Source organism: Homo sapiens, chromosome 12 (assembly GCF_000001405.40).
Source record: "Homo sapiens chromosome 12, GRCh38.p14 Primary Assembly".
In the NCBI taxonomy this organism is placed as follows: domain Eukaryota; kingdom Metazoa; phylum Chordata; class Mammalia; order Primates; family Hominidae; genus Homo; species Homo sapiens.
In genome coordinates this window covers 62819368-62835132 of record NC_000012.12, presented here as the reverse complement: position 1 = coordinate 62835132, position 15765 = coordinate 62819368, and the positions used below count along the sequence as shown (strand labels likewise).

The following is a 15765-nucleotide window of genomic DNA, read 5'->3' as shown; positions in this document are numbered from 1 at the left end:
TGGAGATCAGCGATGCTTTTTTGGTTCAAAAAACGAAACCAAAGGAAAAAACACCTTTCTACAGCCCAAGATTAGGTGCCAGTGGTCAGAGTGATGCCAAGTTCTGGAAATAGCATCCAGGATCTTGTACGGATGACAGTATGGAGGGATGGTTGTCATGAACAGGTTTTCCCAGCTGAACCCCCACTTGAGCTTTCCCCAGGGAAGGCGCACATTTGGGACACCATGGTGGTATAACATCACCCAGTAAAAAATCCACCCCAAACATGTTGCTTGGGAAGTCACCACCAGTGACCGAGAGGAGGCAGGTGGTATTTTGGACCTCCTTCCTCTGCCTGGTTTGGTTCTCTGAGGAGAGATGTAAAAGGCACGTTCCAGACGAATGCATGTTCTGTACTACGAGCTTCAGCAGCAGGCCCCCCCAGTGACTTGGCCTGGATAGCATGAGCTTCTCTAGGGACAGGCAGATCTGAGCCACCTGTTCTTTCCTCTTTCCTGGGCCTTTTCCCAGACTCCTCCAATAGCCAGAGATGCTGGGAAAGGCCCGCCCTCTCAGGCCTGGACCAGACCTTGCCTGATTTTTTTATTCTATGCTTCCCCACAGTCCAGCTCAACCTGTCACAGACTGATGTCCCCAGGGCACAATAGGAAGAGGTTGGGTTAGGGGTCAAGATAGGCTCATTCTGAATCCCAGCTGTGCCACTTCCTGGCTGTGGAGCTTCTGATAAGTTGCTTAGCTCAGGCAGTAAATGCGGTAGGATTAACCATCATGCAGGTAGCCTCATTGTGTCCCTAATATTTACATTTTATCCTTAAGCCATATGAAAATGTCTTTCCTTAGAGGAAAGAGGAAATGCATTTCCTTGAAGGTGGGACAAGAAAATAGACATTGAATCCTCCCTTTCCCCACTGCTCAGCCCCTGAGAGTGTGTGATAAGCCCCCGAGGCCAATTTGACAAGCCCCAGGACAACAATTGTCAAACTTTGTAAGCAACAGTCCACTTAAAGACAAATCTTAGGAAATACTGTAATATGTGAAATAAGTAAACATAGGCTTTTGTTTATAGAAATATGCTAAAGTTGAAATTAGTAGTAAACCCGATAGGACCAGCGAAGCCCTTTTTATTGATACAGAAATTTGAAATTGAGGAAATAGATGACTGATATGATCTTTTCGTTAGAACTTTCAGATAAGTAATTGCAAATAGTAGTTAAAAAAAAAATTCTCCTTCCAATCAATGATATGGTCAATTGAAAAGATAGATGGCTTAATATGCTAAAGCTGCCCAAAATATGTCAACTTGCATTTATTTGATCACATGTACAGATGGGAATGAACTTTTAAATTATTGCATTTTTTAAAAATGTGTATACATTTTTAAAATAAAGAAAATGTTAAAATTTCTGAAACACCTCCATAGAGTTCCAGAGTTTGGCAGAAGTGTGCTTTGAAACACGCTCGCTTACATCTTGCGGCACTCAAATCTCAATTTGCTTTCCATTTCCTATTTGGTTGTGGCATGTGTGTGTTGGCTTATGGAAATTGATACCATTTTTAGTACTAAAAGCTATTTGATGTAAGAAATGGTGAAATTTGAATAAGGTCAGGAGTCTGGGTGAGAGTATTGTATCAATGTCATTTTCTCAGTTTTGATATTGTACTGTCTTATATAAGATGTTACCGTTTGGGGAATTGGTCAAAAGCTACATGGGACTCTGTACTATTTTTGCAATTTACTCTGAGCCTATAATTATTGTAGAATGAAAAGGTTTTTAAAAAGTCATTTGAAAATAATGATTTTGAACTGTTAGGAGGCTGTGCAACTCAATCAATAGAGCAGTGTACACACCACACTTATAGAGCTAATTTTTATTTAGCTTACCTTAAAAAGAAAAAACACACCTTTTCTTTCCTTGCTACTGAGTTCCATAAACTCCACACTCACTCTGTCAGGACTGTGACACTGTTGAAGCTTTAGAAAGGAAACGCAGCCAGTGGCAGATCAAGGAGAACTCTTTAAGGGAATCTGTTTTAGCTGCTGCTTAATTACTTAAGAAGAAAGCGGTGCGGAAACCCAAGAGTTGAGTCTATAGTCACCTGATAGAGAAAAAGGTGCATGAATGATGCAGCATGTTTTCCTGAAGCATTTCTATGCTTAAAACATGTAGTAATTCGAGCAAAGCAGTGTCAACATGCCTTATTATTATGTGTCTTGGTGTCCAAATCAGAGTGCCTATAGCCCAGTGTGATGAGTATTATTCTACATGAAAAAAGACCAAGAGTTAAAAATAGTTTTAAAAGAGTAAACCTTTGACCCATTTGCTTGCCTTTGTGTAAAGCAAAAATGGGGGGGTATGGCCGTAGTGAAATATGGTTCTCTGTTCTCTTGGATTTTTACGACATGCTGTAAGTTACTGCCATGTACCTTGATAAGATTGATGGTGGTTTTGCTGTTTATCACTTGGAGAAGTGAAACAGAATTCCCTGAGTCAGATTATCTGTCTTCATTGTAATTGCCGAAACATTCAGGTTCCTTAACCTGAAAGAGTGATTGCCTCATGTGTTTTGACTAAAATGGATTAGTGTATTTGATCACATCTATCAGACACCTGTGGGTGAACAGGTCTCAAAACAACTTCTTTAGTAAATATTTTAATGGGTGCTAACATAATGCCATTAAAAAATTTTCATTTATTTGGGAACATAAAATACCAAGACCATAATGTTCTTAGCATTAAGCAGGGCTGTAGTTCTGGGCCAGTTGTAGAGACTGTCTTGGCTGACCCTTGACAAGGGACTGTGCCCTCAGCTTTATCGGTCTGTCTGACCAGCTTTTCCGGCTTCTTCTCCAGGGTTATCAATGCCGGGAAGAGCACACACAATGAAGACCAAGCCAGCTGTGAGGTGCTCACTGTGAAGAAGAAGGCAGGGGCCGTGACCTCAACCCCAAACAGGAACTCATCCAAGAGACGGTCCTCCCTTCCCAATGGGGAAGGGCTGCAGCTGAAGGAGAACTCGGTAAGACCCTTCTCGATCCTTGGTTCTCAGGTGAGAAGAATGGCACACACTTTGGTCCCACTGGAAGACATTAGGGCTTCACCTAAATCTGGAATGGAAGTGAGAAAGCAGTGTCCCCAGAGTTAGTGGGGTGGCGGGCCTATCGTCACGACATCACACATACCAAGCTGAAGGCGACACATGTATGACCAGCTTGTGGTTAGGTTTTTAACACAAAGTAAATGAAACACCCACACCATATGTATCTAGCTCTTGTTGCAATAATTGATATATTTATGTGTGTGCATATATATATATACACATATATATGTGTGTGTGTGTGTATACGTATATATATGTGTGTATATATATATACACGAATATATATACGTATACACACACACTCACACACACACACACACACACATACACACACAATGTTTGACGGTTTCAAAGGAGCCACTTCTAGGTCTTTGTAAGGAAATAGTCCGAAAGCCTCTCATGAGGGGTGGAAGTAACTCTGGCTGTTGCTTTGAGCCCTGCCATGACTCTGCCCCTTTCTCCTCCTTGCCTGCTCATGATCCATTTGCAGCCTGTGCCTGATGTTCTTCCAAATAAATATCTATTTCAATTGGCCCAAAACTCTTGCAGCCCATGGGGTGGCCTTGCAGACTGAACACTGTTGAAAAACCACAAAATATTTATCCTGTCTCCAGTTTCTGGGGAATAAAGCAGTCATATCCTCAGAAAGCTCTGAAGAAGCTCTCAGCAAAGGACGGGGAGTCATTGACACTCTGTCTGCCAGCAGATGATGTGCTTTAGAGAGAGATGTTTCCTGGGAAAATCAGGAGACACAGAATGGACTGACCCAAATGTGACTATTCATTCTGATCATCTTGAGGATATTTTTGTGTAAAAATTTTCATAGGATTTTAAAAGATCTAGGAATCTTTTCTTAGTTTTAGAAATAGTATCTCATTGCGGCTGGGCATGGTGGCTCACGCCTGTAATCCCAGCACTTTGGGAGGCCGAGACAGGCGGATCATGAGGTCAGGAGATCCAGACCATCCTGGCTAACATGGTGAAACCCCATCTCTACTAAAAATACAAAAAATTAGCTGGGCATGGTGGCGGGCGCCTGTAATCCCAGCTACTCAGGAGGCTGAGGCAGGAGAATGGCGTGAACCCAGGAGGCAGAGCTTGCAGTGAGCTGAGATCACGCCACTGCACTCCAGCCTGGGCGACAGTGCAGACTCCATCTCAAAAAGAGAAAAAGAAAAAGAAATAGTGTTTCATTGCGTCTATGCTCAGGGATTGATAAGTATTGATTTATTTTGTTAGTCCTAGTTTAATTTAAAGTTGACTTACGGGGATTTATCAATTGTACATATTTTCTAGGTTGAAGGAAGGCCTTTTCCAAACAACCAGAGCTGAGGACCCAGATGGGCAGTATAGAATGGTGATGGTTAAGTGCCCAGGCCCTGGAGTGAGATGACTGTGCAGTCTACCACTTTAGCTACTTAATTTTGGGATGGTTATTCTTTGAGCCTCAGTTTTGTCTACTCTAAAAAGGAATAACAGGCTGGGTGCGGTGGCTCACGCCTGTAATCCCAGCACTTTGGGAGGCCAAGGCGGGCAGATCACGAGGTCAGGAGATCGAGACCATCCTGGCTAACACAGTGACACCCTGTCTCTACTAAAAATACAAAAAATTAGCCGGGCATGGTGGCGGGTGCCTGTAGTCCCAGCTACTCAGGAGGCTGAGGCAGAAGAATGGCGTGAACCCAGGAGGCAGAGCTTGCAGTGAGCTGAGATCACGCCACTGCACTCCAGCCTGGGTGACAGAGCGAGACTCCGTCTCAAAAAAATTAAATAAATAAATAAATAAATAAAATATAAAGGAATAACAGCAGTAACTACCAAATGGTAGAAGGAGGCTGATTGGAAATATGAACTCCAGTAGTCCGTGGAAAATGTTGAGCATGTGTCTTAATAAATCTGTAATAAGCGTTAGTGATTATTATCCTGAGGTTAGTCCCACTTCGTTATTCTCTATGAGTGAAGTTTGCATGTTTCTTCACTTGTGAATTAGAGATTACACAATTCCTTTCATACCTACTCGACAGGATTGTTTTGAGGATTGTTATTATGGGAAAGGGCTTGGAAAGCGTGAAGTGTTCATGATCATTGAATAGGGGCGCCAGTGACTTAGTGTTGCTCTTTCCACTGATATTTTCCCCCTGCCCCTGGGATATAAAGTGATCTCTGTAAAAATCAGTCAGTGTTGACATATGGCCCAAGGCCAGTTGGTGATGGCATTTTTCCTTTTTACTGAGTTCCTTCTAGAAATGGAGCTGGGGTGACTTTTTAACTTCTTGTCCTTAAGAACAGTGAAACTGGTGCATAAGCACTTTGGGATGGAGCTGTGGCCCTCCCCTGTGGTGGTTCCCAATATCTGTGGGGTCCGTCCTTCAAGAGCAAGGGACCAGCAGAGTGGAGACACCCTGGTGCCCCAGTCCTGCTCCGACCACAGCAGCTTCATTTCTGTCTGCTTTACCTATTAGGCTTCTTACTGAGTTTAAGACAAGAGTTGAGCTTCTTTTCCTTTTTTTAAATTGTGGTAAAATGTACATAACATAAAATTTACCAATTTTAGGCATATAGTTCAGTGGCATTACGTATATTCACATGTTTGTACAACCATCACCCTCATCATCTCCAGAACTTTTTCAGGTTCTCAGGCTGAAACTATGTATTCATTAAACACTAACTCTCCATTCTTTCCTCCCTTGGTGCCCACCATTCTATTTCCTGTCTCTGAGTTGACCACTGCAGGTACCTCACATAAGTAGAATCATACACTATTTGTCCTTTTGTGCCTGGCTTATTTCACTTAGCATAATGTTCTCAAGGTTTTACCCATGTTGTAATGTGAGCCAGAATTTTTTACCTTTCAGCTATTCTGAATAATGCTGTCGTGAACATAGGTGAACAAATATCTCTTTGAGTCCCTGCTTTCAATTCTTTTGGCTATATATCTAGAGGAGGATTTGATGAATTATGTGATAATTCTGTTTAATTTTTTGAGGGACTACCACCGTTTTTCACAGTGGCTGCTCCATTTTACGTTCCTACCAACAATGGAGAGGGGTTCCTATTTCTCCACGTCTTCACCAGCACTTGCTTTCTGTTTTCTTTTTTTAATAGTAATCATTCTAATGGGTATGAGGTAGTATTTCACTGTACTTTTGGTTTGCATTTCCCTAATGATTAGTGATGTTGAGCATTTTTTCATTATTGGACCTTTGTATATGTTCTTCAGAGAAATGTCTATTCAAGTCCTTTGCCCATTTTAAAAATTGGGTTGTCTGTTCTGTTGTTATTTTTGTTTGTGCTGCTTTTTAAAAATTTGAAAACCATTACCTAGTGAGGAAGATAAATCACTGAGCACCTGCTATGTACTGAGAACTGGATGCTGGAGATTTGGCAGGGAATGAAATAGACAAAATCCCTACTTAGAGGGAGCTTCCATTCGTAGAGGGAGACAAAATATAGTGTGCCAGATGATAGACACTATGGAGATACAAAACAAAGTGGGGAACCCAGAATATAGGAAGTCTGAGGGTGCCGGGGTAGTTAATGAAGGCATCACTGAGAAGGTGACATTTGGGCAAAGATCTGAAATTGCAGCTATTTGAAGGAAGAGCATTTATCGTTCTGGACAATTGAAAGACACCAAGGTGGGAGCCGGCCCTATGTTCTCAGGGTTTAGGAAGGAGGTCTGTGTGGTTGGAGCAGAAATACTGTAAAGCCTGGATTGCAGGAAATGTTGTCAGAAAAGTCATAGGAGTGGAGTGAGCCAGTCGGGAAGGACATTGAAGGTCACTGTCAAGACTTTGGCTTCCACTTCTATAATTTACTAGCAGAGGACACTGGACACACTGGTTAAAAGAGGCCAGTGATTTTTCCCATCTAGAAGACATGCCCTTAATGGTAAAACTCAAATATGGTAGCACTTAGGAAAGGATGGTGATAGTACAGGGCTTAGGGCAAGAAAACATCCACAGAGATAAGTAAAGCGGATTGTACCCACCCTTCCTGTTCCCTCACCCACTGAACATATTGAACTCTGAGTCTGCATGCTGAGCTTTGGGATAAGGAGACAAAACACAACATAGTTCCCATCCTCCTAATGCTGAGTCGATTGGGGAGATCACTGGCAGTGGTACTACAATGGAGTGAGTTTTCAGAGACAGATGAAAAGCCCAGGTTGTAGGGAAGTCTGACTCATTTTGGTCACTGATGATTTGGGGAACAACCAAGGAGAAGGGGATGGGTAAGGTTAGGAAAGCCTTCCTTGAGAAATTGACATTAGAGCTGGGATCTTGGAAAGTGAATAGAAGTAAAGCGAGCTAACAAAAGAAATGGGGGTTTCTTATAGAAGGAACATGTATAGGCAAAGACAGGTTGGCATGAGAGCACATGAGGCATGTCTTCCTGTGTTTTGGAAAATATATGGTCTCTTGGAGGGTTGGCAAGACAGGAAGAGTAAGCAGGCATCACAAGGGTCATCATACACCATAATAAGCTGGGATTTTTACCAAAGTATTTTAGACAAGGGCAAGATGACTCAAGACAGTGATGGCAGTGGGAAGGCTGACTTGGGAAGGCCAGGAGTCCAAACCTAGAGGCTGGGATGCTAGTTAGGAGGCTCATGCAGAAATATGGGTGAGAAATGATAACGGCTTAAAATAAGGCACTGATCAGTGCAAGGGACAGGCTCAGAAGAGATTAAATGAGAGATACAGTTAAGGTGAGCAAATGACCAACTGCTTGGAACAGGGAGAAGATGAAGGTACCAGGCTCAGCCACTAGGTGCTGGTCACTGAAAAGTGGACCACTGGATGGTAAGGGGATGGGCAGAGATGATGACTTGCGTTTTGAGTATACTGATTCTGATTCTACCTTTCCAGGTGAAAGTGTTTTGTAGGAAATTAGAAATAAGGGTTTGGAGCTCACACACAAGCCTAAGGAGGCTTAGATTTAAGGAGTTACAAGATTGAAAATTATAGTTGCAGCCATAGAAGTGGCTTAGGTGACACAGAAGGTATAAAAGTGTGTAACAGAAACATGATGACAGTGGGGTTCTAGAAGCTCCAAGAAGAGAGGGGTACTGTGAAGAGGGAAGGTATCTATGGCATGGGCCACACAGTGATAAGAAAGATAAGGATGGGAAAAGTGGACATATAATGTTATAAGCAAAAAATGGAACAACAGGATAAATAATGGCATCATGGTTTTATCTGCAAACAGAGTTGACAGGCATGAAGGATGGCAAACCGAAGATGCATGAAGTCCCTCTGGAATACATATGCTTAATTTCTCCCTCCTTTCTTGACCTCTTTTGTCCCCTGTAAATTTAGTAAAGTCAAAATATGTGTTTTCAAAAGATTTCTTTCATGTATAATATATCTTCACCTTCCTTGGAGGTTAAAGAAAACCTAAAATTTTTAATAAAATAACATGAAATTTACAATGAAAACAGTATTATAGGAATTTTTTATTTGTTAGAAACATCAGTGATGTACAGAGGATTTCAATAGAAGTGTGACTTTATATTTCATGACCTTTCTTATATTGAGTGGCAATATGGTAGCCGGGTAGCAACGAGATGACTTCTTTTTTTGAGATGAAGTCTCACTCTGTCGCCCAGGCTGGAGTGCAGTGGCATAATCTCAGCTCACTGCAACCTTTGCCTCCCAGGTTCAAGCTCTTCTCTTGCCTCATCCTCCTGAGTAGCTGGGATTACCGGCAAGCACCACCATACCTGGCTATTTTTGTATTTTTAGTAGAGACAGGGTTTCGCCATGTTGGCCAGGCTGGTCTTGAACTTCTGACCTCAGGGGATCTGCCCACCTCAGGCTCCTGAAGTGTTGGGATTACAGACGTGAGCCACTGCACCCAGCGAGATGACCTTTTCTACTACAGATAATAATGAATTGGTGTTAAGATTTAAAGACAACTCTTAGCCATCCCAAATACCAATTCATAAAGAATTATTTTATCCTTTTCAGCCTCCCATTTTAAAGCAAACCTTAAACACATTTTTTTTGGTAGAGAAAATAATATAACTGTTTTCTGCCTCTCCCAGCTTCCATGAGGCATTTACTGAAGGAATGTCATTTCCTGTGTTTGAGCTCTTTTTTTTTAATTGTAATTGGTGGTAATTTGGCATTTTATTATTTTTTTTTTATTATACTTTAAGTTCTAGGGTACATGCGCACAATATGCAGGTTTGTTACGTAGGTATATGTGTGCCATGTTGGTTTGCTGCACCCATTAACTCATCATTTTCATTAGGTATTTCTCCTAATGCTATCCCTCCCCCTGCTCCACACTCCGCGACAGGCCCCTGTGTGTGATGTTCCCCACCCTGTGTCCAAGTGTTCTTATTGTTCAACTCCCACCTATGAGTGAGAACATATGATGTTTGGTTTTCTGTCCTTGTGATAGTTTGCTCAGAATGATGGTTTCCAGTTTCATCCATGTCCCTGCAAAGGACATGAACTCATCTGTTTTTATAGCTGCATAGTATTCTGTGGTATATATGTGCCACATTTTCTTAATCCAGTCTATCACTGATGGACATTTGGATTGGTTCCAAGTTTTTGCTATTGTGAATAGTGCTGCAATAAACATACGTGTGCATGTGTCTTTACGGTAGCATGATTTATAACCCTTTGGGTATATACCCGGTAATGGGATGGCTGGGTCAAATGATATTTCTAGTTCTAGATCACTGAGGAATCACCACACTGTCTTCCACAATGGTTGAACTAGTTTACACTCCCAACAGTGTAAAAGCATTCCTATTTCTCCACAACCTCTCCAGCATCTGTTGTTTCCTGACTTTTTAATCGCCTCTCTAACTGGTGTGAGATGGTATCTCATTGTGGTTCTGATTTGTATTTCTCTGATGACCAGTGATGATGAGGATTTTTTTCATGTGTGTGTTGGCTGCATAAATGTCTTCTTTTAAGAAGTGTCAGTTCATATCCTTTGCCCACTTTTTGATTTTTTTTTTCCTTGTAAATTTGTTTCTTTGTAGATTCTGGATATTAGCCCTTTGTCAACTGGGTAGATTGCAAAAATTTCTCCCATTCTGTAGGTTGTCTGTTCACTCTGATGGTAGTTTCTTTTGCTGTGCAAAAGCTCTTCAGTTTGATTAGATTCCATTTGTCTATTTTGGCTTTTGTTGCCATTGCTTTTGGTGTTTTAGTCATGAAGTCCTTGCCCATGCCTATGTCCTGAATGGTATTGCCTAGGTTTTCTTCTAGGCTTTTTATGATTTTGGGTCTAACATTTAAGTCTTTAATCCATCTTCAATTAATTTTTGTATAAGGTGTAAGGAAGGGATCCAGTTTCAGCTTTCTACATATGGCTAGCCAGTTTTCGCAGCACCATTTATTAAATAGGGAATCCTTTCCCCATTTCTTGTTTTTGTCAGGTTTGTCAAAGATCAGATGGTTGTAGATGTGTGTTGTTATTTCTGAGGGTTCTGTTCTGTTTCATTGGTCTGCCTCTCTGTTTTGGTACCAGTACCATGCTGTTTTGGTTACTGTAGCCTTGTAGTATAGTTTGAAGTCAGGTAGCGTGATGCCTCCAGCTTTGTTCTTTTTGCTTAGGATTGTCTTGGCAATGTGGGCTCTATTTTGGTTCCATATGAACTCTAAAGTAGTTTTTTCCAATTCTGTGAAGAAAGTCATTGATAGCTTGATGGGGATGGCATTGAATCTATAAATTACTTTGGGCAGTATGGCCATTTTCACAACATTGATTCTTCCTATCCATGAGCATGGAATGTTCTTCCATTTGTTTGTGTCCTCTTTTATTTCATTGAGCAGTGGTTTGTAGTTTTCCTTGAAGAGGCCCTTCACATCCCTTGTAAGTTGGATTCCTAGGTATTTTATTCTCTTTGTAGCAATTGTGAATGGGAGTTCACTCATGATTTGGCTCTCTGTTTGTCTGTTATTGGTGTATAAGAATGCTTGTGATTTTTGTACATTGATTTTGTATCCTGAGACTTTGCTGAAGTTGCCTATCAGCTTAAGGAGATTTTGGGCTGAGAAGATGGGGTTTTCTAGATATACAATCATGTCATCTGCAAACAGGGACAATTTGACTTCCTCATTTCCTAATCGAATTCCCTTTATTTCTTTCTCTTGCCTGATTGCCCTGGCCAGAACTACCAACACTATGTTGAAATAGGAGTGGTGAGAGAGGGCATCCCTGTCTTGTGCCAGTTTTCAAAGGGAATGCTTCCAGTTTTTGCCCATTCAGTATGATATTGGCTGTGGGTTTGTCATAAATAGCTCCTATTATTTTGAGATAAGTTACATCGATACCTGGTTTATTGAGAGTTTTTAGCATGAAGGGCTGTTGAATTTTGTCAAAGGCCTTTTCTGCATCTATTGAGATAATCATGTGGTTTTTGTCATTGGTTCTGTTTATGTGATGGATTATGTTTATTGATTTGGGTATGTTGAACAAGCCTTGCATCCCAGGGATGAAGCTGACTTGATCATGGTGGATAAGCTTTTTGATGAGCTGCTGGATTCAGTTTGCCAGTATTTTATTGAGGATTTTTGCATCGATGTTCATCAGGAATATTGGTCTAAAATGCTCTTTTTTTGTTGTGTCTCTCTCTGCCAGGCTTTGGTATCAGGATGATGCTGGCCTCATAAAATTAGTTAGGAAGAATTCCCTCTTTTTCTATTGATTGGAATAGTTTCAGAAGGAATGGTACCAGCTCCTCTTTGTACCTCTGGTAGAATTTGGCTGTGAATCCGTCTGGTTCTGGACTTTCTTTGGTTGGTAGGATGTTAATTATTGCCTCAATTTCAGAGCCTGTTATTGGTCTATTCAGAGAGTCAACTTCTTCCCAATTTAGTCTTGGGAGGGTGTATGTGTCCCGGAATTTATCCATTTTTCTATATTTTCTAGTTTATTTGTGTAGAGGTGTTTATAGTATTCTCTGATGGTAGTTTGTATTTCTGTGGGATTGGTGGTGATATCCCCTTTATCATTTTTTATTGCATCTATTTGATTCTTCTCTCTTTTCTTTTTTATTAGTCTTGCTAGCAGTCTATCAATTCTGTTGAACTTTTCAAAAAACCAGCTCCTGAATTTATTGATTTTTTTGAAGGGTTTTTTGTGTCTCTATCTCCTTCAGTTTTGTTCTGATCTTAGTTATTTCTTGCCTTCTGCTAGCTTTTGAATGTGTTTGCTCTTGCTTCTCTAGTTCTTTTAATTGTGATGTTAGGGTGTCAATTTTAGATGTTTTCTGCTTTCTCTTGTGTGCATTTAGTGCTATAAATTTCCCTCTACACACTGCTTTAAGTGTGTCCCAGAGATTCTGGTACGTTGTGTCTTTGTTCTCGTTGGTTTCAAAGAACATCTTTATTTCTGCCTTCATTTCATTATGTACCCAGTAGTCATTCAGGAGCAGGTTGTTCAGTTTCCATGTAGTTGAGCGGTTTTGAGTGAGTTTCTTAATCCTGAGTTCTAATTTGATTGCATTGTGGTCTGAGAGACAGTTTGTTGTGATTTCTGTTCTTTTACATTTGTTAAGGACTGCTTTACTTCCAACTCTTTTGGAATAAGTGCTATGTGGTGCTGAGAAGAATGTATAGTCTGTTGATTTGGGGTGGAGAGTTCTGTAGATGTCTGTCACGTCCTCTTGGTGCAGAGCTGAGTTCAAGTCCTGGATATCGTTGTTAACCTTCTGTCTCATTGATCTAATATTGACAGTGGGGTGTTAAAGTCTCCCATTATTATTGTGTGGGAGTCTAAGTCTCTTTGTAGGTCCCTAAGGACTTGCTTTATGAATCTGGGTGCTCCTGTATTGGGTGCATATATATTTAGGACAGTTAGCTCTTCTTGTTGAATTGATCCCTTTACCATTATGTAATGGCCTTCTTTGTCTCTTCTGATCTTCTTTGGTTTAAAGTCTGTTTTATCAGAGACTAGGATTGCAACCCTGCTTTTTTTTTGCTTTCCATTTGCTTGGTAGATCTTCCTGCATACCTTTATTTTGAGCCTATGTATGTCTCTGCACATGAGATGGGTTTCCTGAATACAGCACACTGATGGGTCTTGACTCTTTATCCAGTTTGCCAGTCTGTGTCTTTTAATTGGGGCATTTAGCCCATTCACATTCAAGGTTAATATGTGTGAATGTGATCCTGTCATTAGGATGTTAGCTGGTTATTTTGCCCATTAGTTGATGCAGTTTCTTCCTAGCACCGAAGGTCTTTACAATTTGGCATGTTTTTGCAGTGGCTGGTACCAGTTGTTCCTTTCCATGTTTAGTGCTTCCTTCAGGAGCTCTTGTAAGGCAGGCCTGGTGGTAACAAAATCTCTCAGCATTTGCTTGTCTGTAAAGGATTTTATTTCTCCTTCACTTATGAAGCTTAGTTTGGCTGGATATGAAATTCTGGGTTCTTTAAGAATGTTGAATATTGGCCCCCACTCTCTTCTGGCTTGTAGAGTTTCTGCCGAGAAATCCACTGTTAGTTTGATGGGCTTCCCTTTGCAGGTAACCCGACCTTTCTCTCTGGCTGCCCTTAACATTTTTTCCTTCATTTCAACCTTGGTGAATCTGACAATTAATGTGTCTTGGGGTTGCTCTTCTTGAGGAGTATCTTTGTGGTGGTCTCTGTATTTCCTGAATTTTAATGTTGGCCTGCCTTGCTAGGCTGGGGAAGTTCTCCTGGATCATATCCTGGCAGAGTGTTTTCCAACTTGTTTCCATTCTCCCTGTCACTTTCAGGTACACCAAACAAATGTAGATTTGGTCTTTCACATAGTCCCATATTTCTTGGAGGCTTTGTTCATTTCTTTTTACTTTTTTTTCTCTAAACTTCTCCTCTCACTTTGTTTCATTAATTTGATCTTCCATCACTGATACCCTTTCTTCCACTTGATCGAATTGGCTATCGAAGCTTGTGCATGCGTTACGTAGTTCTCTTGCCACGGTTTTCAGCTCCATCAGGTCATTTAAGGTCTTCTCTACACTGTTTATTCTAGTTAGCCATTCATCTGATCTTTTTTCAAGGTTTTTAGCTTCTTTGCAATGGGTTCGAGCATCCTCCTTTAGCTTGGAGAAGTTTGTTATTACCGACCTCCTGAAGCCTACTTCTGTCAGCTTGTCAAAGTCATTCTCCATCCAGCTTTGTTCCGTTGCTGGAGAGGAGCTGTGATCCTTTGGAGGAGAAGAGGTGCTCTGGTTTTTAGAATTTTCAGCTTTTCTGCTCTGGTTCCTCCCCATCTTTGTGGTTTTATCTACCTTTGGTCTTTGATGCTAGTGACCTACAGATGGGGTGTTGGTGTGGATGTCCTTTTTGTTGATGCTGATGCTATTCCTTTCTGTTTGTTAGTTTTCCTTCTAAGAGTCAGGTTCCTCAGCTGCAGGTCTGTTGGAGTTTCCTGGAGTTCCACTCCAGACCCTATTTGCTTAGGTATCACCAGCGGAGGCTGCAGAACCGCAATATTGCAGAACGGCAAATGTTGCTGCCTGATCGTTCCTCTGGAAGCTTTGTCTCAGAGGGGCACCCAGCCGTATGAGGTGTCAGTCGGCCCCTAATGGGAGGTGCCTCCCAGTTAGGCTACTCGGGGTTCAGGGACCCACTTGAGGAGGCAGTCTGTCCATTCTCAGATCTCAAACTCTGTGCTGGGAGAACCACTACTCTCTTCATAGACAGGGACTTTTAAGTTGCAGAAGTTTCTGCTGCCTTTTGTTCATCTACGCCCTGCCCTCAGAGGTGGGGTCTACAGAGGCAGCAGGCCTTGCAGAGCTGTGGTGGGCTCTGCCCAGTTCGAGCTTCCCCAGCCGCTTTGTTTACCTACTCAAGCTTCAGCAGTGGCAGACGCCTCTCCCCCTACTAGGCTGCTGCCTCACCGGTTGATCTCAGACTGCTGCGCTAGCAGTGAGCAAGGCTTCTTAGGTGTGGGACCTGCTAAGCCAGGTGCCATTTGCTAAGGCCATTGGAAAAGCGCAGTATTTGGGCGGGAGTGTCCTGATTTTCCAGGTACAATCTGCCATGGATTCCCTTGGCTGGGAAAGGGAATTCCCCGACCCCTTGCGCTTCCCAGGTGAGGCAATGCCCCACCCTGCTTCGGCTCGCCCTCTTTGGGCTGCACTCACTGTCCAACCAGTCCCAATGAGATGAACCAGGTACCTCAGTTCGAAATGCAGAAATCACTGTCTTCTGCATCAATCCCACTGGGAGCTGCACACCAGAGCTGTTTCCATTCGGCCATCTTGGAACCGACTCGTGTTTGAGCTCTTGACAGTGGCACCTGACTTAAAAGAAATAAAATACAAATTAATTTCGGGTTTCATCTGCATATAAGTAAAAAGTCAGGAGCTAAAGAAGCAATGTTTGAAATAAGTAAAACAACAACAACAACAACAAAACAAACTTAAAAGGCACACAAATTTAAATGTTTTAAGGTGTTCTGCACTGTAGTATTTTAGCCTGAAGAAATGTAAGGGGATGTGGTTGAAGTTTTCTAGTCTCCATCTCCAACACTCTTGAATGGATCTAGGTTTTGTTCTGTTTTGTCTTTTAATTAAGAGTTTAGTGATATAACTTATAATACAGAAACAATAAACATTTCTCCTTTGGGGTTAAGAAAGCAATGTTTGGCCAGGTACGGTGGCTCACGCCTGTAATCCCAGCACTTTGGGAGGCCGAGGCAGGTGG

General features: G+C 41.7%; 1 protein-coding gene across 3 annotated transcripts in view; it reads left to right on the top strand.

The window, feature by feature from the left end:
* The window catches only part of PPM1H (protein phosphatase, Mg2+/Mn2+ dependent 1H), a 291157-nt gene that overhangs the window by 100018 nt on the left and 175374 nt on the right, over positions 1 to 15765 (top strand). For all 3 annotated transcript variants that reach the window (NM_020700.2, XM_011538578.3, XM_017019676.3), the window contains exon 2: positions 2854 to 3019. In NM_020700.2, the coding sequence (NP_065751.1) occupies positions 2854 to 3019 (166 nt within the window). The remainder of the gene's footprint in view (positions 1 to 2853; positions 3020 to 15765) is intronic.